Source organism: Homo sapiens, chromosome 2 (assembly GCF_000001405.40).
Source record: "Homo sapiens chromosome 2, GRCh38.p14 Primary Assembly".
Taxonomy (NCBI): Eukaryota; Metazoa; Chordata; class Mammalia; order Primates; family Hominidae; genus Homo; species Homo sapiens.
Window position 1 is genome coordinate 222,928,328 of NC_000002.12, and position 24,307 is coordinate 222,952,634.

Below are 24,307 nucleotides of genomic sequence, written 5' to 3' on the forward strand. Positions count from 1 at the left end.
AAAGATTAGAGAGGTGTTTTATACTGCACATCGGTGAGGCCTAATAAGAAAGTAGAATAGACGTAAACCATTGTTTTCATCATCCTTTAAGACAGGGATTTCAAACTCAAGAACCAGGCAGCTACCTATTTAAATGAGTCAAGTGGGCCCTAATGTAAGACAATGTGATGGGTAAGGATTGATTCTGAGGGAACAGGAGCAGGCATGCCCTCTCTAACAGAGGCCGTCAGTTCTGCTGTACCTGAAATGTGGGCCCATTGTTGCTGGCGATTCCACACTTACATCTAAAATTTCCTGATTTTTTAAGAATGACAATAACTAATTTAAAAAAAAAAAAAAAACCTCAATGTAGGCCAAAAAATACGACTCTACAGGCCTCACGGCCTGTGCTTCACCAATATGTGACTTCTGCTTTTAAGGAATAGCTGGGGATACCTCAGCCTTAGGATAAATAATCATTTTTGGTAATTTAGAAAAATGAAGCAGTGTATTAGCTACTGTTCTCAAATATCCTTTTTTTCATTTAATTCCTAGTGTGGGACTACAATACTGGCAGAGTGGGAGCACCATTAGTTTGCTGTGAAATCAAATTAAAAAACTGGGAGGAAGGTAATAAACTATTTTAACCACAGAGCATTAATTTTTAAAGTATTAAACTTGAAAATTAGTGCTTCACTTTCTTGCTTTAGAATGTAAACACCCATAAGTGCTCATTTTTGTCCTTTGTGATAGACGTGTTTTATCTCGAACTATATGAATGCATTTATTTTTCTTGTTTCAAAGATGTTTCTGAAGAACTATTATTGTTTTCATTTTACTTATTACGTAGATGCAAGTAAGAATTATGGCAAAAACTTGAGAAATGTACTAATAAGTGAATAATGTCAATAAATTAGGAGTGATCATAACTTTATTTTGCAGAAGTAAAATTATAAAATTTATTTTATGAAATTGTGGATTTTTAAATGATTTTTTTCTTTTTTTTTCTGAGGGCTTCAACCTTGTATTATTAGAAGGAAATTTTCACTGCAATTCCATAGAAGTCTGTTTATTCTCATGCCATTTAAAATAATGGTCACTTAAAAATTTATTTGATCCTGTTAAAATATACAAATTATCTGTGTTTTATTGGGATGCACCTTTCCTCTACATTAAGTAAAGATAAAGATTCTGGCCGGGCGCAGTGGCTCACTCCTGTAATCCCAGCACTTTGGGAGGCCAAGACGGGCGGATCATGGGGTCAGGAGTTCGAGACCAGCCTGACCAACATGGTGAAACCGTCTCTACTAAAAATACAAAAATTAGCCAGGCGTGGTGGTGCGTGCCTGTAATTCCAGCTACTCGGGAGGCTGAGGCAGGAGAATCACTTGAACCCGGGAGGTGGAGGTTGCAGTGAGCCAAGATTGCGCCACTGCACTCTAGCCTGGGTGACAGAGCGAAACTCTCATCTCCAAAATAAATAAATAAAGAAAGATTCTAAGGCTTGGATGTCTTTTAGCTATCTTTAGCAGAATTAGTGGGAATATTTAATAAATTTAGGCTTGGAGTCATTTTGAAATTATCTATAAGAATAAATCTTAATATGTAGTAACTCACTTTTTTTTTTTTTTTTTTTTTGACACGGAGTTTTGCTCTTGTTGCCCAGGCTGGAGTGCAGTGTCAATGGTTTCGGCTCACTGCAACCTCCACCTCCTGGGTTCAAGTGATTCTCCTGCCTCAGCCTCCCTAATAGCTGGGATTTCAGGTGTGCGCCACCATGCCCGACTAATTTTTTGTATTTTTAGTAGAGGTGGGGTTTCACCATGTTGGCCAGGCTGACCTCAAACTCCTGACCTCAGGCGATCCACCCTCCTTGGCCTCCCAAAGTGTTGTGATTACAGACATGAGCCACTGGCCCAGCAGTAACTCATTCTTATATAGGGATTTGTTCTATTAATTGCATGACTTAATACTTCTGTCAGTTTATCAATATGATATTTAAGATGTTGCAGAATCTTTCAAATAATTTGTCTCTTGTATTTATAATTTTATACAACAAATGGAAGATGTTGGGTTTTAGAGTTTAATTTTTTTCTCAGAATAGAAGTTTGAAAACATAAATACTTATGGTTTAGCAACTGAGATTTTGTGCCTACTGTTAAATTGATAAACTTTGTTCATTCATAGTGTCTGCCTTTTTTCCTTTGGGAAGTTCTAATTGGATTAAAATAAGATGACTGTTTAGAAACTAGTAGTTTCAAATTTTCATGTGTTGTATTTAACTCAACTATTAACTCAATTATTATTTTATTAGGTGGATACTTTAATACTGATAAGCCACACCCCAGGGGTGAAATTCTTATTGGGGGCCAAAGTGTGACAATGGGGTACTACAAAAATGAAGCAAAAACAAAAGCTGATTTCTTTGAAGATGAAAATGGACAAAGGTGGCTCTGTACTGGGGATATTGGAGAGTTTGAACCCGATGGATGCTTAAAGATTATTGGTAAGTCATCTAATATTTTTTTGAAAATGAATGTTTCTGAAATAGTTTACACAAGAAGCACAATATATTTAGAGGAGGCGCTGAATAATATAAATCTTTATGTAATCTTAGTTTGGGTTGTTGCATCACTCCTGGAATATAAAATATTACGGACTGTGGAATTTATGAGGCCTGACATGTTATGAGTTCTCAAAGATGGTTCAGCAGCAGTGGTATTTTAAATTACTCTTAGATAACCTTCAGTCATTGTTTCCTGCCTGTGTTTCTGACATCTAGAGATTAGTGGATGGAGCTCTCACAGTCTGAACTGCACCCTTGCCTTGCCCTGCCCAGGAGAATAGAGGAAAGCCAGGCAGCTCAAGTACTATGACTCATATGGGTTGAAAAATACCTTATTCTGCTTCTCCTTTTAGGTTCTTTTTTTTTAAAAGTTAATGGCATTTCAGTTAGCCGTGTGTGGTGTCTTTGTCGGGCACCTGTAATCCCAGCTACTTGGGAGGCCGAGGCAGGAGAATGGCATGAACCCGGGAGGCAGAGCTTGCAGCAAGCGGAGATCGCGACACTGCACTCCAACCTGGGCAACAGAGCAAGACTCTGTCTAAAAAAAAAAAAAAAGTTAATGGCATTTCTATCCCTGTCTTGCTAACTAGAAACCTGGGAGGAGACTCAAGACTGTTCTCTTCAGTCAGCTTCCCATGCCTATTTTATATCCCACTAGTTTATTTTATGAGCTATGTCTCAAAATCATACTCTTCTCTCTTTGTCTCTCTTACTTGATCATTGGTCAGGCCTGTACCTTCTGCCACCCTCTCCCAATAATTTCTCTGTTGCCATGTTTACCCCCTTAAACACACCCTCTCACTGCCACCATGTAATTACTAAACATGGATCTTACTGGCCACAACCATTTAATGTCTCCTAGAAGCTCAGTTCAGGGTGCCCCTGTTAACATTGTTCCCCTCTTCACCTTCATCGTCAGTTGTTTTCCTCCTCCTCCTTGATGCAGCTGAAATTAGAGCTGATGTTCTTCTGGCTTTTGCCAGTGTTGTTGCACCTGACCTCTCACTTTTCCCTTAGGACTCGGCTCAAGCAGCTGAGCATAGTGACTCAGGCCTGTAATCCCAGCTACTCGGGAGGCTGAGGTGGGAGTATCACAGGAGCCCAGGAGGCCGTGATTGTGCCACTGCACTCCAGTATGAGCAACAGAGTGAGACCCTGTCTCAAAATCTCAAAACCAACCAACCATCCAACCCTCAGCTCAGGCCTCACTTGCAAGAATTTTTTCCAAATCCCCAGGTTGGAGAGTCTTAACACTTAGCGCTACCATTGTAGTACCAATGTATTGAAGTAATACGTTTTTGCATTATGCATGTCTCCAGATAGGTTGTGAACTTGCAGATGGCATTGAATATCTTCTTCACCTGCCTGGTACTAATGGATACCAGAAATAAACCTGTTCAGAAGAACATACTTGAAGCCCTGCTAATGGAGTCCATTAAGTAGAAGTTAATTGTTTTTCTTTCTTTCTTTTTTTGAGATGTAGTCTTGCTCTGTCGCCCAGGCTGGAGTGCAGTGGCACCATCTCAGCTCACTGCAACCTCTGTCTCCTGGGTTCACGCAATTCTCCTGCCTCAGCCTCCTGAGTAGCTGGGATTACAGGTGTGCACCACCACGCCCAGCTAGTTTTCGTATTTTTAGTAGAGTCGGGGTTTCACCATGTTGGCCAGGCTGGTCTCGAACTCCTGACCTCAAGTGATGTGCCCGCCTCGGCCTCCCGAAGTGCTGGGATTACAGACATGAGCCACTGGACCTGGCCTGTTTTTCTTTTAAAAGCATGGGCCGGGCGCGGTGGCTCACGCCTGTAATCCCAGCACTTTGGGAGGCCGAGGCGGGTGGATCATGAGGTCAGGAGATCGAGACCATCCTGGCTAACAAGGTGAAACCCCGTCTCTACTAAAAATACAAAAAATTAGCCGGGCGCGGTGGCGGGCGCCTGTAGTCCCAGCTACTCGGGAGGCTGAGGCAGGAGAATGGCGTGAACCCGGGAAGCGGAGCTTGCAGTGAGCCGAGATTGCGCCACTGCAGTCCGCAGTCCAGCCTGGGCGACAGAGCGAGACTCCGTCTCAAAAAAAAAAAAAAAAAAAAAAAAGCATGTATTTAGCAGTACAAAAATTAGGGCCTAATTTTAATATGTGCTTTTAATTTCAGCATAACCATTAATGCTTAATTTTGCAAAGTTTTAAATAATTTGATAGCAAATTACTTAGAGAATGGCCAGTATTTATATATGTATTAAATGTTACTAATATTATTACTCATTGTTTTCCCCTCTCCACCTTTCTTTGTTTTGCAGATCGTAAAAAGGACCTTGTAAAACTACAGGCAGGGGAATATGTTTCTCTTGGGAAAGTAGAGGCAGCTTTGAAGAATCTTCCACTAGTAGATAACATTTGTGCATATGCAAACAGGTAAGAACGTGGAATTCATACTACTTTTACTTAAAATATTTGATGTCCATAGACATTTCCTACCTGTATGGACCTTCTTTGTAAAAATGTTCCGAGAACTCTTCCTATCTGTTACTTGTGGGAATGGCCTCCTTCTCATTGCAGCCATTAGCTGACTCTTTTCCTTGTAAGGCTTCCCCTGATCTTTCTCTCTGTCCCTGTTTTCTGCTTTACGTCTCACTGCAGTGTCCCATGGAGGGAGGTGAAGAAAATAAAACCTTCCTTCCTGCTGCCTTGGTACCCCTACCTACCTGTCCCTCAGCAGGGGAAGCTTCACAGAACTACTCCAGAGGAATGGGGAGTAAAGAAGTGGCAGTGAGGAGTGTGCTGCTTACTTACTCCTGCTCTACACTTGAGCCTGCTCGGCACTCCAGGCAGGTCTTGGGGCTCCTATGTAAGCTGTGTTAAGCTGCAGCCTAAACACACAGCCTCCCCACCTCATGATGATGAAGAGGCAGCTGGGGACCTGTCTACGACAGTTGACATGAATTATTATGGGAAAATAAAATCTGTTATCAGGAAAACTAATTTAGAAACAGATGTTGGGGGTACAGCCCAAGTTAGAAATGAATTGCATTTATTTATAAATGATTCTGGTCTTTAGCCATTTAGTATTTTCTTTAGTGATGATACAGATCTGGATTTATTCATGTGATAGTAACCAGAAGCATCTTCTTCCTGATGTTACTATTTTATGGCCTTCAAAAAAGTATTTGCCTTCGTTGGGCATAGTCAGAGTTCCTCTATCAATACAAATTCTGATGATAACAAAAGAAAAAAAAGAATATATTCACATCATTTTGATTCGTTGCTGAATTTTTAAGATAGTTTTTAATTTATGTTAAATTTTAGTTTTTTAAAACACATGCTATGAAATACTGATAGGGTTTAAAGGTGAATATTCTAATATTTGTAACTTTCTTTTAAAATGTGTACATGGCAGTATTCATAACAGTTTTTCATAGTTGAAATTCATCATGAAATGTCAGATTGAAGTTTATTTAGCAACGAACTCTGCCAAAGCATTGGAAAATATTATGAATCAAACAGTAAAACTGGCGGTTGCATGAAATGGATATGCCAGTGCCAAGTATGGCACATGCATTTTAAAAAAAATGAGGAGTTATTTACTACTTGTCACTGTAATAATAACTGCAGTCAACACAGTTCACCATTTTGTTCCTTATCTGTTATCCTTTCTATATTTCAGTTATCATTCTTATGTCATTGGATTTGTTGTGCCAAATCAAAAGGAACTAACTGAACTAGCTCGAAAGAAAGGACTTAAAGGGACTTGGGAGGAGCTGTGTAACAGTTGTGAAATGGAAAATGAGGTACTTAAAGTGCTTTCCGAAGCTGCTATTTCAGGTGAGTATTCGGTTAAACTGATACTAAAAACTGAGATGGGAAGAGAGTACTTACATGCATTCAACCTGTTTTAAGGTTTAGGGTTCATTACTTTCTGCTCAGAAACCATTTCTACCGTTAGTATATGGAAGAGTAAACTTATCAGTCCCCCATTCAAGCCTTGCTACACAAATTAACCACTCCCACCAAACTGATGTACATGTATCTTGAATGTTCTTGTCTCTGCAACCTTTGCTTTCTGGGTTACCCTTTCTCTTATGTCAGCTGTTCTTCAAGGCCTTGCTCAGTTTTCTGGCCACACTAGCCCATAGTGATCAGGCCAAAACTCCTTTTGAAACTTTATACAATGTTAGAGTACTGGTAGTTGGTTGTACTAATAGTTTCATAACCATTTTTGGTGGGGTGAGGAGTGCCCAAGACTAGTTTAATATTGTTGGTCTAATAAAAACATCTGTGTCTTTTGAGTTGTTGTGTCAAGCATAAAACAAGCGTGAATTATTTTTTATTTTATTTATTTTTTTAAGAGACAGGGTCTCTTCTGTTGCCCGAACCAGAATGCAGTGGCAGTCATAGCTTACTGCAGCCTTGAACTCCCAGGCTCAAGCGATTCTTCCCTTCAGCCTCCCAAGTAGCCGGGACTACCAGTGCATGCCACTATGCCTAGCTAATTAAAAAAAATTTTTTTGTTGTTTTGTTTTGTTGTTGAGATGAGGCCTCACTATGTTGGCCAGGCCAGTCTTGAACTCCTAGGCTGCAGCGATCCTCCCAACTTAGCTTCCTGAGTACCTGGGACTACAAGCATGTGTCACCATGCCAGGCTCCAGCATTTACTTTTTAGTCTCTTCACATTTCAGTAATGTCAGATTCCACACAGTCTTTTAAGTCAGCCCTGTGGTACATGCCTTATTGGTTTTGCTCATAGTGTATATTCCTTTGGAAACCACTCCTGAAATATTTTTAATCTTTGAAGACTGAAACCTTGTGTATTATTTCTATGTTTACTTTTACAGGTTAGAGTTAATACATCTTTTTTTACTCCCAAGGCACTTTATGTCTTTAATTTTGCATATTTCTTTCTTTTATTGTAGTAAAAATCTCATAACGTTCAATTTACTATCTTAACATTTTAAGTGTACAATTCAGTAATGTTAAGTGTATTTACATTATTGCACAACTGATCTTTATAACTATTTCATCTTGCAAAACGGAGACACTATACCCATTACACTAATTCCCCTTCCCTCTCTCCCCCTTCCCTCCACCTTTTTACTTTATGTTTCTAAAATTTTGATTACTTGAGGTACTTCATACATGTGGAATCATACGGTATTTATTCTTTTGTGACTGTCTTATTTAGTGTATCTTCAGGGTTTATTCATATTGTACCATGTGATAGGATTTTTCTTTTTTAGGTTGCGTAATACTCCATTGTATGTATATTGCACATTTTCTTTATCCATTCATCTGTGTTTGGACATTTGGGTTGTTTCTACCTTTTGGGTATTGTGAATAATGCTGTGATGAACATAGATGTGCAAATATGGCTTTGAGATTCTGCTTTGAATTATTTTGGATATATACCCAGAAATGAGATTGTTAGATCCTATGGCAATTATTAATACTATATTTAATTTTTTCAGGAAACTCCATACTGTGTTCCTTAATGACTATTGATTTACATTCCCACCAACGGTATTAAGGGTTTCCATTTCTCCACATCCTCACCAACATTTGTATATTTTTTTCTAATATCCATTCTAACAGATGTGAAGTGATATCTCATTGTGGTTTTGATTTGCATTTCTCTTTTTATTAGTTATGTTGGGCATCTTATATATACTTGTTGGCCATTTACATATCTTCTGCAGAAAATTGTCGATTCAAGTCCTTTGCCCATTTTAAAATCAGAATTCTGCACCCTCCCCCCCCACCCCACCCCCGTAGTTAAGTTGTACAAGTTTCTTACAAATTCTGAACATGTATTAGTCTGTTCTCACACTGCTATAAAGACATACCTGAGACTGGGTAATTTATAAAGGAAAGAGGTTTAATTGACTCACAGTTCTGCATGGCTCGGGGAGGCCTCAGAAAACTTACTGTACATTTGTGGCAGAAGGGGAGAGAGGGAAGCAAAGGGACATCTTACATGGCGGCAGGCGAGAGAGCAAATGAAGAGAGAGAGAGAGAAAGCGAAGGGGGAAGAGCCCCTAAAACCATCAGATCTTGTGAGGTCTCACTCACCATCACGAGAACAACATGGAGAAACCGCACCCATGATCCAGTCACCTCCCACCAGGTTCCCCCCTTGACATGTCGGGATTATGGGGAATATAATTTGAGATGAGATTTGGGTGGGGACCCAGAACTAAACCTTATCAGGACATTGCATTTATTTGTGTCTTTTAAAATTTCTTTTAGTAACATTTTGTAGTTTTCAGGGTACAAGTCTTTCACCTCCTTGGTTAGGTTTATTCCTAAGTATTTCCTCCTTTTTGATGCTACATTAAATGGTATTGTTTTCTTAATTTCTTTTTCAGAACAGTTATTGTTAGTGTATAGACATGCAATTGATTTTTCGTGTTGATTTTTTTTATCCTGCAACTTTGCTGGAATCTTTATTAGTTATGAAGGTTGTGTGTGTGTCTTTAGAGTTTCCTACATATAACTTTTCTTTTTGATCTTCTGATTGTTCTATTCATAAATGAAAGTGGAGTATTGAAGTCTCCTACTATTATTGTATTGCTTTCTATTTCTTCCCCTAGTTATGTCAGTGTTTGCTTCATATATTTAGAAACACTCAAGTTACGCGTATATTTGTAATTGTTATATCATCCTGGAGAATTGACTCTTTTATCATTATATTGTAATTAATGTCCTTCTTTGTCTATTGTGACAATTTTTGTCTTAAAGTCTGTTTTATTTAAGTATGGCCATCCCCTTTAGGTTCTTATTTTCATGGAATATCTATTTCCATCCTTCACTTTAGGTTACGCATGCCCTTGGATCTAATGTATGTTTCTTGTGGATGGCATATACTTGAGTCTTGTTTTATATTCAGTTGGTCAATCTGTATCTTTTAATTGGGCATTTAATTTACATTTCAGGTCATTATTGATATGAAAGACTTTTCATACCTATTTCCATTTTGTTAACTATTTTCTGTATATCTTGTAGCTTTTCCTCTCTTGCTGCCTTCTTTTGTTTTGTTGATTTTTTGTGTGTATAATTACATTCTTTGATTCCCTTGTCTTTTATCTTTGTGTATGTTCTATAGACATTTTCTTTGTGGTTGTCAATACAGTTACATAAAACATCTTAAAATTATTAACAGTATATTTTAGTTTGATAGCAGCTTAATCTTCCGTCTCATATAAAAACTTGACTCCTTTGTAACTCTGCTCCTCCCTCAAAAAAGACCTTTTTATTGTGTAGTCATTAATATAGATTCATAATTACTTTTTATGTCTTTGTTTTTTAAATTCTATACAGATTTAAATGTGACTTATACACCTATATCAAATTACTTTCAGAATTCTGTATTTGCCTATGTATTTACCTTTACCAAGGAGTATTGTAGTTTCTTATGGTTTTGTGTTACTGTTTGTTTTCATTTTGCTTTAACTTGAAGTACTCCTATCATTATTTTTTGTAGGACTGGTCTAGTGGTGATAAACCCCCTCTACTGTTGTTTATCAAGGAGTCTTAATTTTTCCCTTATTTTCGAAGGACAGGTTTAGGTTACAGTATTCTTGGTTGACAATTTTTTTTCTTTCAGTATTTTGAATACTACTATTTTCTAACCTGCCAGTTTTCTGCTGATAAATGATAGTTCAATGAGAGCTTCTTTGTATGTGATGAGTCATTTTTCTCTTGCTGCTTTCAAGATTTTTTGTGACTTTTGACAGCTTGATTACGAGTGTGTTTTGGTGTAGTTCTCTTCCTAGTGGAGTGTTTTGAGCTGCTTGAATTTATACTCCCATTTCTCTTCTCAGATACAGGAAGGTTTTGGCCATGATTTCTTCAAATAGGCTTTCTGCTCCTTTCTGTCTTCTTTTTCTGAACTCCTATAATGAGCATTTTTCCACTTGATGGTGTCCCATTCATTCCTTAGGTTCTCTTCATTTTTACATTTTTCCTCTCTTAGTAATTTCAGAAGTCCTGTCTTGGAGTTCATAGATTCTTTTTTCTACCTGGTCAAGTTGCTGTCGATCCTCTAGTGAATTTTTCAATCCATTTATTGTATTTGGTTCCAGAATTTCTATTTGGTTCTTCATTTTAAAAAAATTTCTTTCATTTATACTTTCATTTTGTTCATGCGTTGTTTTCTTGTTTTTTTTCAGGTGTCTGTCTGTACTCTCTTGTAATTCATTGAGCATTCTTATGACGGTTATTTTGAATTTGGTAATTCATCTATTTCCATGTCTTTCTGGGGTTTATTTCTGGAGATTTAATTTGATCTTTTGATAGCCTGTGTTTTTCTATTTCTTTGTATGTCTTTATTTTTGTTGGGATGTCAGCATTTGAAAAATCAGCTACCTTTCTCTGTCTTACAGTCTGCTTTTGTATTGAGAGGACTTTGTCCAGTCAGCCCTACTACGGATTCTAGAGCCAGCCATCTTAAGCCTTTTCCGAGGCTGTGTCCTTTTTGAGTTTGTGGGGTACAATCTAATTGAAGAGGTTTGCTGGTTTCTACTCAGGAGCTCCCTCTGGTGTCTGTCTGTGATATTGTGGCCTCACTGGTGCTGTAGTTGGCCATGGTACTGGAGCTCTACCTAGTGTCTGTGATACTGCAGCCTCTGGTTCATGTTAATCTTTGTTCTTGACAGCTCCCAACCTGGTGCCCTGTTCCTGTTATTTAGATTCAGGAAAGACAGAAGCAAGTTTCTTGCACCCCAGAAGTCAGAATATTGGATGTGTGTTCCACTCCTCTTAGGGATTTCTTCCCTATTACTTTGTACTGTGCTGAGGGGAGGGTCTCTGGCAAGCGAATGCCTTGCATTTTTCTACCAGCCTTTGATGCGGTTGGTTTCCTTCTGTCCCGGAGTGTAGGAACTTCTTAAGTGGTTTCTGGGTTTCTTACACAGGCAATAAATAGGCCCATATAGCATTGTTAAATCCATGTTTCTGTAGGGGAAGGAGGGACTGCGTTTTCCTATATTGTCATCTTGCTGACATCACTCCTTAACACATTTCTTTCATGTATCATATGGCTAGCTGTTTACCCATTTCCCTTTGTTAGATTGCATGCTACTTGAAAGCAGAAACTTGTCATTTTTTTGCATTTTTAAAAGAATGTTTAGTAAAGCACTTTACATGTAGTAATAGTTTTTTAATATTTGTTGAACAAATGCTTAGAAAAATAAGTCAGTCCTACTGACGACATACGGTTTTTCAAAACTACATCTGCCCCTTAATCTCCTTTAAATGTTTTCCTTTCTTCCCTTCCTTTCTCCCTTCATTTGCTGCTATCATGAATCTCCTTAGTATTAGGCAATATGTTAGTAACACAATAGTGAGCAAGCATTCTGTATCCACATAGCTTGTAGGGAATATCCTGGTTCAATGACATAATTTGTCTTAAACTTTATTATTTTTTAATTTCTGAAGTAAATGTGCTCTGCATAATAAATTCAAGGAAAACAAATAGGCATAAAGGAAAAGGTGAATTTCCCCATTTCCTTTCTCCTGGATACCAGGCTCTAGAGGTGTGGAGTTTATAGCTTGGTATGTATCCTTCTCCTCACATCTAGGTGCATATAAGTTTATGCAGCCTGTGCTGGAACTTGTCTTTTTTTTTTTTTTTTTTAACCTAACAATAGGCATTTATGCAGCATATAATGAAGTTTCAGTCAGTGACAGACACAGACTGCATATATGACAGTGGTCACGTAAGATTATAATGTATTTTTACTGCCTTTTCTATGTTTAGATACACTTAAATACACAAATACTTAACTATTGTGTTACAATTACCTATGGTATTCAGTACAATAACGTGCTGTGCGGGTGTGTAGCCTAGGAGCCGTAGGCTAGATAATGCAGCCTAGATGTATATATAGTAGGCTATACCATCGACATTCGTGTAAGATATGCTATGATGTTCCCATGATGGCAAAACTGCCAAGTGTGTGATGCATTTCTCAGAACATATCCCTGTCATTAAGAGATGCGTGACTATATTGGATACCCTATTAGATACCTGTCTAAATGTAATTTTTTTTTTTTTTAAATGAGATGGGGTTTCGCTCTGTTGCCCAGGCTGGAGTGCAGTAGCACGATCATAGCTCACTGCATCTTCAGATCTCCTGGGCTCAAGTCATCCTCCCACCTCAGCCTCCTGAGTAACTGGTACTACAAGCGTATGCCACTATACCCAGCTTATATTTTTTATTTCTATTAAAAAATATTTTTAAGTTACTTATTTTAGAGACAAGGTCTCGCTATGTTACCGAGGCTGGCCTTGAATTCCTGGCCTCAAGCGATCCTCCTGCCTGAGCTTTCAGAGTTACTGGGATTACAGGCATGAGCCATCATGCCTGGCTCTAACTCGTTTTCAATGACAGAATATATATTCTATTTTGTTCCTATATCATATTTTATTTAACTCATTTTCCTCTTGATGGGGACTTGTTAAATAGTTTATTGTTTTACTTATGTTTGTATTTTGAGGAATAGATTCTTTAGAAGTGACATTCATGGTTCACTTGTTGGTTGTGCATTTTGATGGATACGCAAAAAGTGGGGAAGTTACACCATTTGCTAAGAACTTAAATACCTTTTCTTCTTTTCTTTTTTTTTAATCATCTTAGCAAGTCTGGAAAAGTTTGAAATTCCAGTAAAAATTCGTTTGAGTCCTGAACCGTGGACCCCTGAAACTGGTCTGGTGACAGATGCCTTCAAGCTGAAACGCAAAGAGCTTAAAACACATTACCAGGCGGACATTGAGCGAATGTATGGAAGAAAATAATTATTCTCTTCTGGCATCAGTTTGCTACAGTGAGCTCAGATCAAATAGGAAAATACTTGAAATGCATGTCTCAAGCTGCAAGGCAAACTCCATTCCTCATATTAAACTATTACTTCTCATGACGTCACCATTTTTAACTGACAGGATTAGTAAAACATTAAGACAGCAAACTTGTGTCTGTCTCTTCTTTCATTTTCCCCGCCACCAACTTACTTTACCACCTATGACTGTACTTGTCAGTATGAGAATTTTTCTGAATCATATTGGGGAAGCAGTGATTTTAAAACCTCAAGTTTTTAAACATGATTTATATGTTCTGTATAATGTTCAGTTTGTAACTTTTTAAAAGTTTGGATGTATAGAGGGATAAATAGGAAATATAAGAATTGGTTATTTGGGGGCTTTTTTACTTACTGTATTTAAAAATACAAGGGTATTGATATGAAATTATGTAAATTTCAAATGCTTATGAATCAAATCATTGTTGAACAAAAGATTTGTTGCTGTGTAATTATTGTCTTGTATGCATTTGAGAGAAATAAATATACCCATACTTATGTTTTAAGAAGTTGAGATCTTGTGAATATATGCCTGTCAGTGTCTTCTTTATATATTTATTTTTTATTAGAAAAAATGAAGTTTGGTTGGTGATGCATGAAACAAAATAGCAAGAGAGGGTTATAGTTTAATAGTAAGGGAGATAACACAGCATGTGTAGCACCAGTTGATAATTGGTCTCTAGTAGCTTACTGTCAAAATGTTCAATGAAGTCTTCTGTTCATCTGTTGAAACTAGGAAAATACCCAAACTTAAATGGAAGAATTCTGAAAGAGAGGATAGAATTTAAAGAACAAGAGTATATAAAGTTATTCTTTGAATATTTCGTTGACTATATGTACATTGAGTTATCTATATTTGTAAACAAATTAGTCATGGAAAATTATTCTATCTCAAAGTCTCCTTTTAGTCTAGATAATCATTATTTCATTTTAAAATTAGTGTTTTTCCTAGTTTGCACTGATGCGTGTATGGATGTGTGTGAGTCAGTGGTAGCTTATTTAAAAAGCACCTTATCCTTTCTCCCATAACCTTTGTACACTAAAAAATGAAAGAATTTAGAATGTATTTGATGATAGCATTCTCACTAAGACACATGAGAATTTAACTTTATAACCGCGTGAGTTAAGATTTAATTCATAGGTTTTGATGTCATTGTTGAAGTTATTTGTAATTCAGAAACCTTGCTTGTGTGATACATAGTCTCTTCATTTATTACTGCTTGTCTGTTGTTATATCTGGATTATCAAAAGCAATAGTGCACCAATTAAGATGTGCTCAAATCAGGACTTAAATCATAGGCACCACATTTTTCATGTCAGACTAGTTACTTTGTTGATTCTCAGTTACTGTAGGCATCAAAAGGCAAAAATCAAAAAAAAAAAAAACAAAAACAAAAAAAAAGATGAACCTAGGTCTGTGTAAAGTAAGGGGAGTGTTAGGAGCAGCCAGGACTGTGTAGTGTGTGTTTGGTTGCATCACAAACATCGTATGTGGAGACATTGCAATACAGTGTTTTTTGTTTTCAACTTTTCTTGTATTGTATATTTGTATTATGTTTTGAATGCTTTTCTCTTTTCATAATTAAATATTAATGTTTGGGATAACTGCCAAGAAGAAGTAAAAATATTGAATGGAACTTCTATATGAGGATGCTGTGATCTAAAAATTAAATCTCAGTGGGCGGAGAGAATTTGTTTCTGATGCCTTGTCTTTAGAATAATTGTTTGCTTTCAGATGATTAAAAAAAGGAGATTGTATCTAGGAAAAAAGTGTGAATGCTTCAAAGGAGAGATACTGATAATTGTGACTTGAAATAGTGTCAGATGAATTATGTAGCTGATCACTGATGGAACCATCTAATGAGGCAGGCTTAAACTCTATTTAGTTTCGTTTGTTTTCTCATATGAAGTTTATAATTCCTTTCAGTCCTAAAATGTCAGATGCCAGGTGTCAAATGCCACAGTAGAAAGTGAAATTAAGTAGAGTCCCCTTTTAAACAAATTTGTCTGTAAGCAAAACTATCTTTAGTGACTTAAAAAATAATATCCTCTAAAATTACCCTTTCAAGAGGAAAAAACTGTTCAATGAAAAAACCACTCAATTATGACTCATATAAGAAATACTGGTTTAACCAGGAGATATTTGGGGAGCAAAATTTTAAGGAATTTCAAATTGCTAAATCTAATACAAATATCTGACAATAAGATACAGATCTAAAAGAATGGTTCTTAAGAACTATTGTTTACTGGGAATAAACTAAGCTCTATGAAGAATTCGTAAGCATTACATGTTCCAGTAAGTTTAGCAACTTAGAGCCAAGACTGGTGGCCACCTCCATTTATTTCCCCACTGCTCCTCCACTGACATCCTTCTTAGCAGAAACTTCATGAAAAAGTTTTTGCTGACACAGAACAAACCTGAAAGTAGTATCTACTTTCTAAATACTACTTTGCTTTTCAGTAGTGGATTTGATATTTATAATGTTCTCTAAAGCTTGCAACTTTTTCAGCAACGTTTAAAAATAGATTAACCTGGAATAACTTACTTGTTTGCTGCTAAAATACTCAAGATTTTGCCATTTTTAAACAACCAGTCCCTGTGATACAACTTTGAAAAAACTTTTAAAAATCTCTGATGTGTGGGCTCTTTTTTTCCCATAAGAATTATGTACATCTGTGATGTTTTACAGGGGGATCCGCTTTTAAACAGTGTACATATTGGACCACACTGAAATGTCATATATCCTTTCTCTACTTAAAATTGGTTATTTACTGTGAGTTCATTTCCGATGTGTTCTTGGTTGTTGCTGTTTTCTGCCTGAAGACGTGTATCATAAAGAGCTACATGGTATGGACTATTTATTTGTAATTTGACATAAAGTTTGAAGAATAAAGATCTATAAAAGTTGAAGTTTCTGATATTAAAGCTCTTAATATATTGGCTTTTTTTTTTTTTTTTTTTGGTTTTGGTTTTTAAGAAAAGCTGTTCCTGTAAAAGTGAAACTTTCATTGACATTCCTGAAATACTTGAAGAAGGAGTTTGGGGAATTTTCCATCCTGACCTAACAACCTAACCAAAGGAAAACTTTTTATTCTAGAAATTCTGTTAATAATCTATTTCCTAGCCTTTTTATATTCTAACTTTCCCCTAACCCTTCCCGAATTCCTCCTTTCCATTCCTCCTTTTTGGTTCTGACTGCCCAGAAGATATACTGTCAGCATTTTAAATTCCAAAATATTCATACAGCATAAAATCTTGAATAGAGGTGGTAAATTGAAATTTGGCATCAAAATTAATGGGGTAGAATCTACAATGTGGCAGAAATATCTAAACTTTGTGCCAACATTTAATCCAATAATTGTGGGAGGAAGAGTTGTATCATGCTGTGTTTCAGAAACTAACCTCCCTCACCCACCCCATCTTTGACTGCCAGTCAATATTTGTGGGTATATGTAACTTTATCATAGCATACTTTTGTCTCTGTGTGTAATCCTGTAACAAAACCAGTTAAAGCTTTCTTTACATAAACATTTGGCATCTTTGTGTGTTTTGCATTAACTTAGACAGTTGTGCCTAATTTCTCCTCATTAACTTTGCTCAGGTTATTCTTTTAAACATTGGTAACAATATTTCTACCACACCAAATATGCAAATGATTTTAGGATGAGGCTGGTCTATAGTGTCATGGAATGGTTTTTATGGCATAACGTGAAACCGGTTATATGCAGATCTATAGTCTGATTTATGTAATAACATTATCTTCAATCTGATAAAATCTGCCTCTGATTTCCTCCTAATTAGTTGGTCCACATGCAAGCATATAGTCTGCAAGGGCCTGTCCATTTCAGAATCGCCTCTGTAAACCAGATGCCTTAACATGGTGCATGCATGGCCCCCAGAGGAGGTGTTCAGTAACTGGTTTTGAGTGAATTTGAAGTGTTAACGAAATTATTATAACAGTGCATACGTATCCTCTAATGTTACATGCCTATTTCTGGTTTGGATTTTCCAAAATGCTTTTCAGCAAACCCTTCCCCATTAGTGTCTTTATTTAGTGATTTTGAATTGTGTTCCCTTTGGTGGGATTCATTCAAAAGCAACTTCCTGCATTTGGTGATTTTTTTCTTAGATTCATTCTCATTTGTTTCTGAAGAAAGGTTGTTCTGTGTGGGTTTTTTGTTCTATAAAAAAGTGACTTTTCTGCGTGGATTACTTTTATAGAAACAAGGTTTGTCTCCCATATGAATGTTTTGATGCTGAAAGTTTTTCCATGTTAGTGCACTTACAGTTTTTCTCTCTGGAATGTACCCTCTCATGTTGAGAGAGCGAAGAGCTATAGCTACAGGTTTTCCCACACCGTCTGCCTTTGTAGGTTTCTTCCCAGTGTGAGTTCTTTCGTGTTTAATCCAGGCGAGCTACAAGGGAAAAATTCTCCACATTGACCACATTTGTGGAGTTTCTCCAGTATTAATTCTTTACTGGTTACTAAACGACGCTTTTTGCTTAAGATTTCCCCTCCTTCTTTATATTCGTAGGTTTTTGGTTTTTTAACTTACATGAACTCTCACATGTTGAACAAAGGAGGAGCAGTCTTTAGAGATTTTAGATACTTTATGTTCACAGGATTTCTCACCTGTATGATTTTTCTCATGTTGATTAAGGCAGTAGTTCTCAAACTTTCTGGTTTCAGGACCTCTTTATGTTCTGAAATAAATTATTGAGAACTCCAGAATGTTTGTTTATGTGGCTTATATCTATCAGTATTTCTTTGTAAAGGGTTTGTATTTTATCATGAAACATGTAGAAGTAAATCATTCACTTTGATTTTTCTTCATGACCATAATCATATTAAGAATACAAAAGGTATAAGAGAGTGGCACAGGATGAGGGTTTATTAGGAGGGCTGTATGTATGCCTTCCCCACCCCTGACTCCCAAGAAAAAAGATTATAGCTATCAGAAGAACATAGCTTTGCAAGATTTGTTCTGTGATAAAGGCAAAATTCCACATTTTTCCTCAAAATAGAAATGAAAAACAACTATGTTGTCCAAATAATTTGATGCCCCAACTTTCAAAATGTTTATGTATAGAAGCCTATAGCTCCAACGCGCTGCCTAGCCCTGCCACTTTGTCAACCCCATGGCCATATTCTGGGCCCTGTTATCGCTCAGAAGGCCCTTGTCTGGAATCTGGGAAAAGGAGGATGTTGAAGACTTAAAAGTCCTAATGCCTTTAATGGGGGCCTGGAAGGATGGGGCTTCAGGCCTGGCGGGAAAGGAATGGTGTTGTGTGGGAAGGTGCTCACATATAAAACATCCAGCTCTAACAACCCAGCAATGTGCTGTCCTCAAAGCTCCCAACCCCGCTGTGAGTCACCCCATCTGAGGACCTCCATGAGTGGCCAGGGCACAGTCCCTTATTCTGCTAGATGCTCTGCCTGCCCTGTATAATACCTCTCTGCTCAGCCTTAGCACTAACGCCATCCTCACTCCAGTCCTCTCTTGGTTTGAATGTTTTGGATGTCTTGAGAGCATTGGGGCAAGAACTCCGAGAATTTTTTTTCTGTTTTCTTTTTTTTTTTTTTGAGACAGTGTCTCACTCTGTGGCCGAGACTGGAGTACAGTGGTACGATCTCAGCTCACTACAACCTCCATCTCCCGGTTCAAGTGATTCTCCTGCCTCAGCCTCCTGAGTAGCTGGGATTACAGGCACCTGCCACCACACCCAGCTAATGTTATATTTTTAGTAGAGACGGGATTTCACCATGTTAGCTAGGCTGTTCTCGAACTCCGGACCTCAGGTGATCCACCCGCCTTGGCCTCCCAAAGTGCTGGGATTACAGGCGTGAGCCACCGCTCCCGGCCTTAGAATTCTTTTAAACGTTTCCACAAATGTAAGAAAAGATGGCTTTTTGGTAGCCATGGTCAAAAATAGCCACCCAAATCTGTTTTTACCCTGTTCAGCACATCAGCAGTTCACCTCATGTAGGAAAGTGAGATGCACCAGAGGCTTAAAAAAGTTCCTATGGTTTGCCCACTAATTCCACATCTAGGAATCTGACCTTAGAAAATACTCAAGAGACGCGGGTTGAGATTTCTTCAGGAAGACCTTCATTGTGAAGTTGTTTATAGCAATCCATCAATTGGAAACAAGTGCACTAAAGTAAGATATCAGGTAAATATTAGACACTATCCACTTGATCATAGAGGCACAAAAAATGTTTATACAGCTTTTTATATTGTGAGGAGGACTTCATACTATGAATTTTATGGGGGAAGAAAGTAGGAATCAAAATTTAGTAGGCACTTTATGTCATAATGTGTGTGTGTGTGTGTTGTGTATATATTTCATAGAGAAAAGTCTAGAAAGAAATGTGCAATCATTGGCCAAAAATTGTAATTGACATTTTTCTCTTCATACTTTCAAAATTCTTTACATTGGCTTTACTTACTCCTACAATAAAAAGTCAAGCTTGTGTAAAGAAGCCTAGCTTAAAATATGGACCATAAGCTTTAAAATTTTTTATCTTAGCAAAATTATCAATTGTTAAGAAAAAATATTTGAAGCTATCTTAAGTGTTCTAGTAAAGAAGAAACTAGAAACCCTTTTATTTTCTAATCCCATTCATATTTATATATTTTTTGAAAGCTCCCTTCAACTATACCCTTGTTTATCAATCTTGTTCTGTTTGTTCCAGCTTTATAACGTGATATATGGGTATCTGTGCCTGTCTTCTGTATGTGCATTTTTTTTCTGGTAATTCTGCCCATGTTCTGCATATCTTTATTTTCATGTTCTTAATCCTTTTATTTACTGCTTCATGACTCAATTTTAATTTTTCTGTAACTGAATTATGTAGGACCTTGGCCCCTAAATAGCTCTTTTCAAGAAGATTTTCTTCTTGTGTGTCCAATAGATTTGCTATGCCCTTTCTCCTCCTCCTGTTAAATGTAAAACTTTATTAGTATCAATATCTGATATAGTTTGGTTGTGTCCCCACCCAAATCTCATCTTGAATTGTATCTCCTACAATTCCCACATGTTGCGGGAGGGACCTGGTGGGAGATCATTGAATCATGGGGGCAGTTCCCCCATACTGTTATCGTGATAGTGAATAAGTCTCACGAGATCTGATGATTTATAAGGGGTTTCCCCTTTCACTTGGCTCTCATTCTCTCTTGCCTCCCACCATATAAGATGTGCCTTTTGCCTTCCACCATGATTGTGAGGCCTCCCTAGCCATGTGGAACTGAGAGTCCATGAAACTTACTTTTCTTTGTAAATTACCCAGTCTCCAGTATGTCTTTATCAGCAGCGTGAAAATGGACTAATACAATATCATATTGTATATTTTTCTGTAGATCATCCATTTTAAAAAGAGGAGATGATTTGCTAATTTTTAAAAACAGCTCCTATAAGAAAAGGGAAATTCAGAAAGATGCTTTTCTTCTATCTTTTCCCTGAAAGTTGCCCAGTTCTTCTTTGCCTTTTGGTTGTTTTATTGGCTGATTCTAGCTCTGGGTCTGGTGTCAGTGTTGACCTGTGATCCCTCATCAGGGCCAGTGCTGAGACCTGTGGATGATTGCACCAGACGTCCTTTACAGACCAGGCTTGAGTCTCCCTGCTATTGTGATTTTTTTTTAAGCTTATTTGGAATGTTAGACAAACAGGTGTAAAAATACCATATTAGTTTTTGAAAGATTTGCTTATTTAGCATAACATGAATTTATGCTCATTATAAAATTTCTAGTAATTTGGAGATATAGACTAAAAATGGAAATCCTCCCTATATACACAGGGTTTTTAGAAAACATATAATGAATTAAATTTTGTCTCTCCTCCCAAATGTATATGTTGAAGTCCTGATCTCTAGTACCTCAGAATGTCAGTAAATTTGGAGATAGGGCCTTGAATAAGGTGATTAAGTTAATATGAGGTCATTAATGTGGCCCCTAATCCAATATGACTAGAGTCCTTGCACAAGGAGATCAGGACACAGATCTCCACAGAGTGAAGAGTGTGGGATGCCAACCCAAAAAGAGAGGTCTCAAAAGATACCAGCCCTGCTGACACCTTGATCTTGTCCTTCTAGCCAACAGAATTGTGAGAAAGTGAATTTCTGTTGCTCAAACCACCTAGTCTGTGATTTTGTTATGGCAGCCCTAGCACACTAATACAGACCGCAGTTAGATCCTGGTCTAGATTCTATAACTTGCCTTTTTTATTGTGAGCATACATTGGACATCTTCCTGTGTCAGTACATATATAATGGACCTGATTCATAAATAACCTTGTTAACGGCGAGGCAATATTCCACAGAATGGGTGTATCACAATGTAAACCATTCTCTCATTGTTAGGCACTTAGGTTATTTCAGTTTTTACCATTAGAATCAGTGTGACAACACAAAGCTTTTACTCCCATTTTTGTGCTTAAGAGGAAGCTCATCTACAGGACAGCTTTCTAACAGGAATGGCTAGGTAGATCAAACCTTAGCAGTTTTGTAAACTATCCAATTGTTATTTGGTTTTGAGTGTGTGTGTGTGTGTGTGTGTATGTACATATATATCTCCTGACTTCTCAGATAAATTTAAATTCCTGAGGAATGGGTGTTTTAGTGATTCTTTGTATCCTCCAAGTCTAGTGTCATATGACTTTCTTCTAAGAGATTCTGAGTGAATGTTGGGTATACTATCATTTTCATTAATTAGCCTTTTATCATCAATTAGCTAAAATGTGGGAAAGAAGGGGAAACATGGTGTGTAGTGTGACCCAGGCAGGTCCCGTCCCTCTGAGCCTTTGTAGACACTGTGTTAGTTTTCTTTTCTCCCTTTTTTTGCTTTTTGAAATAAGGTCTTGCTTTGTCACCCAGGCTGGAATGCAGTGGTGTGATCATGGCTCAAGCAATCCTCCTGCCTCAGTGTCCCAAGTAGCTGCGACTACAGGAGCGAACTGCCACATCTGGCTTATTTATTAATTAACTAATTAATTAATTTAATTATTTGTAGAGAAAGGGACTCACTATGCTGCCCAGGCTGGTTTCAAACTCCTGGCCTCAAGTGATCTTCCCGCCTCCACCTCCTAAAGTGCTTGGATTACAGGCGTGAGCCACCGCACCCGGCCCTGTGTTAGGTTTTTTTTTGTCATGGGTCTCTTTTTTCCACCTCCTTCCTTCCTCCTTTCCCTCCCTGCTAATAAACAATAATTTCATATGCCTTCTGAGTCATTTGAGAAATTGTTTTGTTCTACCTTCCGGGAATATGCTAATAATGAGTAAAATAAAAATGGGCAGGAATTTGATGTAAAATCCGAAGGCAGATTTGTGTTTGTATATCTCATCTTCTCTCCTCTGCGGCATTTACAGGAAGCAGCAGGGCTGCGTGGGTGATGGATGTTGCTGTCTGTGACCGTCTGCCGCCCATTCCTCTTCTTTGAATCACCAGCCTATGGGCTGTTCACCATGCAGCTGATGTTCACCAGCTCTGTATCTTCCATCTCCCCAAAGTGGCACGGACACAGAGCCTTGCTTATACACAGTGATGGGAATCTGGTGCAGTAGAAAACAAAATTTTCTTATTTTTCTCCCACCCCAAACCCTGGCAATACTGTTTTCACAGGTAGAGATGGTGAAGAACGCAGACTCATAGCAAGACACCCATGATCACCAGTCACCTGTGTGTCTGTGATGTCGAGGCTGACAATTAGATATGATTACAGATATGTGAAAAAAGGACAGTTTTTTTTATTGTAGTACTGGTAACAAGAATTGCTTTTTGAATTTTTTAATTGGGATCTCCTGTTTTTCCCCCCTCCAAGTCCTTCCTGCTTTTTCTTTGCTTTTAAGGATACAGAAAGATGATCACTTTTATTGGAAAAACCTGTTGAGAAGCTATGCTTGCGAGACATTAGCAATCCTCATGCTTGTGAGTTCCGGAACATTATACAGGCTGGGCATGGTGGCTCATACCTGTCATCCCAGTACTTCGGGATGCTATGGCAGGAGGATCTCTTCAGCCTAGGAGTTCAAGACCAGCCTGGGCAGCATAGGGAGACCTCAGCTCTACAAAAAAAAAAAAAAAAAAAAAAAGCCAGATGTGATGGTGCACACCTGTGGTCCACTAGGGAGGTGGGAGGATTGCTTGAGCCCAGGAGGTTGAGGCTGCAGTGAGCTGTGATCGTGCCACTGCACTCCAGCCTAGGCAACAGAGAGAGACCCCTGTTTCCAAAAAAACAAACAAAAAAAACCAGAACAACAGGACACAACAGTTAACTCAGAATTTGCCAAATATTTGATACATGTTACCTCCATAAATCCGCATGACAGTGACACAAAAATGGGTGTCCTTATTCATGCTGTTTTACAGATTAGGCAGCTGGGGCTTACAGCAGTTAAAAGAGTAAGTGACAGCTAGGTTGGAACCTTGTCTGTCTGAAGCTCACTGCACACTAGTTTGATGTGGTCTGGTCCCCCGACTCCAGCCTTTTGACTAATGCTGCCAGACCTTCTTGAGCCATCCTGTTGGTCTTGGCTTGTTGACTCCAAACCCCTCAACCCCACCCCAGCACCTTGCTGACCCATGATGCTTTACTATATTCTGCCCACCTGGTCTCCAGTTCCAAGCATGGCACTGACCATCTGCCCTGAGCAGTTAATAAAACAACATTTGGCTGCTGGCTTGCCACCTGCCTGGCACTGTGCCAGGTGCCTTGTGTAGCACCAAGTATAAATGGACACACTAGATATGTGCAAACCTAAAGACTGCTGTATCCTTAGAATGGAGTTCTGTTAACTTTGGCTTAGAGTAGGCAACATAATTATTCTGTTCTTGAGACTTCAGTCATTCTGGCTATTTCTAGTTTGGGTTGCATATTAAAATTGAGGCCACATTTTATGATTAAATTTTCCATCTAAGGATTTTT

General features: G+C 37.9%; 1 protein-coding gene and 1 pseudogene across 4 annotated transcripts in view, besides 1 other annotated feature; one reads left to right on the forward strand and one right to left on the reverse strand.

Moving 5' to 3' along the window:
* Positions 1–16,312, forward strand: part of ACSL3 (acyl-CoA synthetase long chain family member 3) — an 83,604-nt gene extending 67,292 nt beyond the window's left edge. For all 4 annotated transcript variants that reach the window (NM_004457.5, NM_203372.3, NM_001354158.2 and 1 more), the window contains 5 exons: positions 535–609; positions 2,294–2,485; positions 4,839–4,953; positions 6,203–6,360; positions 13,170–16,312. In NM_004457.5, coding sequence (NP_004448.2) covers positions 535–609; positions 2,294–2,485; positions 4,839–4,953; positions 6,203–6,360; positions 13,170–13,327 — 698 coding nt within the window. In that variant the 3' untranslated portion in view covers positions 13,328–16,312. The remainder of the gene's footprint in view (positions 1–534; positions 610–2,293; positions 2,486–4,838; positions 4,954–6,202; positions 6,361–13,169) is intronic.
* Positions 15,695–15,844: a silencer, noted in NCBI's record as "silent region_12375". NCBI's record gives its function as "represses an Ori minimal core promoter by ATAC-STARR-seq in GM12878 lymphoblastoid cells {active_cell/tissue: GM12878}" and the evidence as "EXISTENCE:reporter gene assay evidence [ECO:0000049][PMID:35858748]".
* Positions 17,608–18,313, reverse strand: LOC100419511 (zinc finger protein 79 pseudogene; annotated as a pseudogene).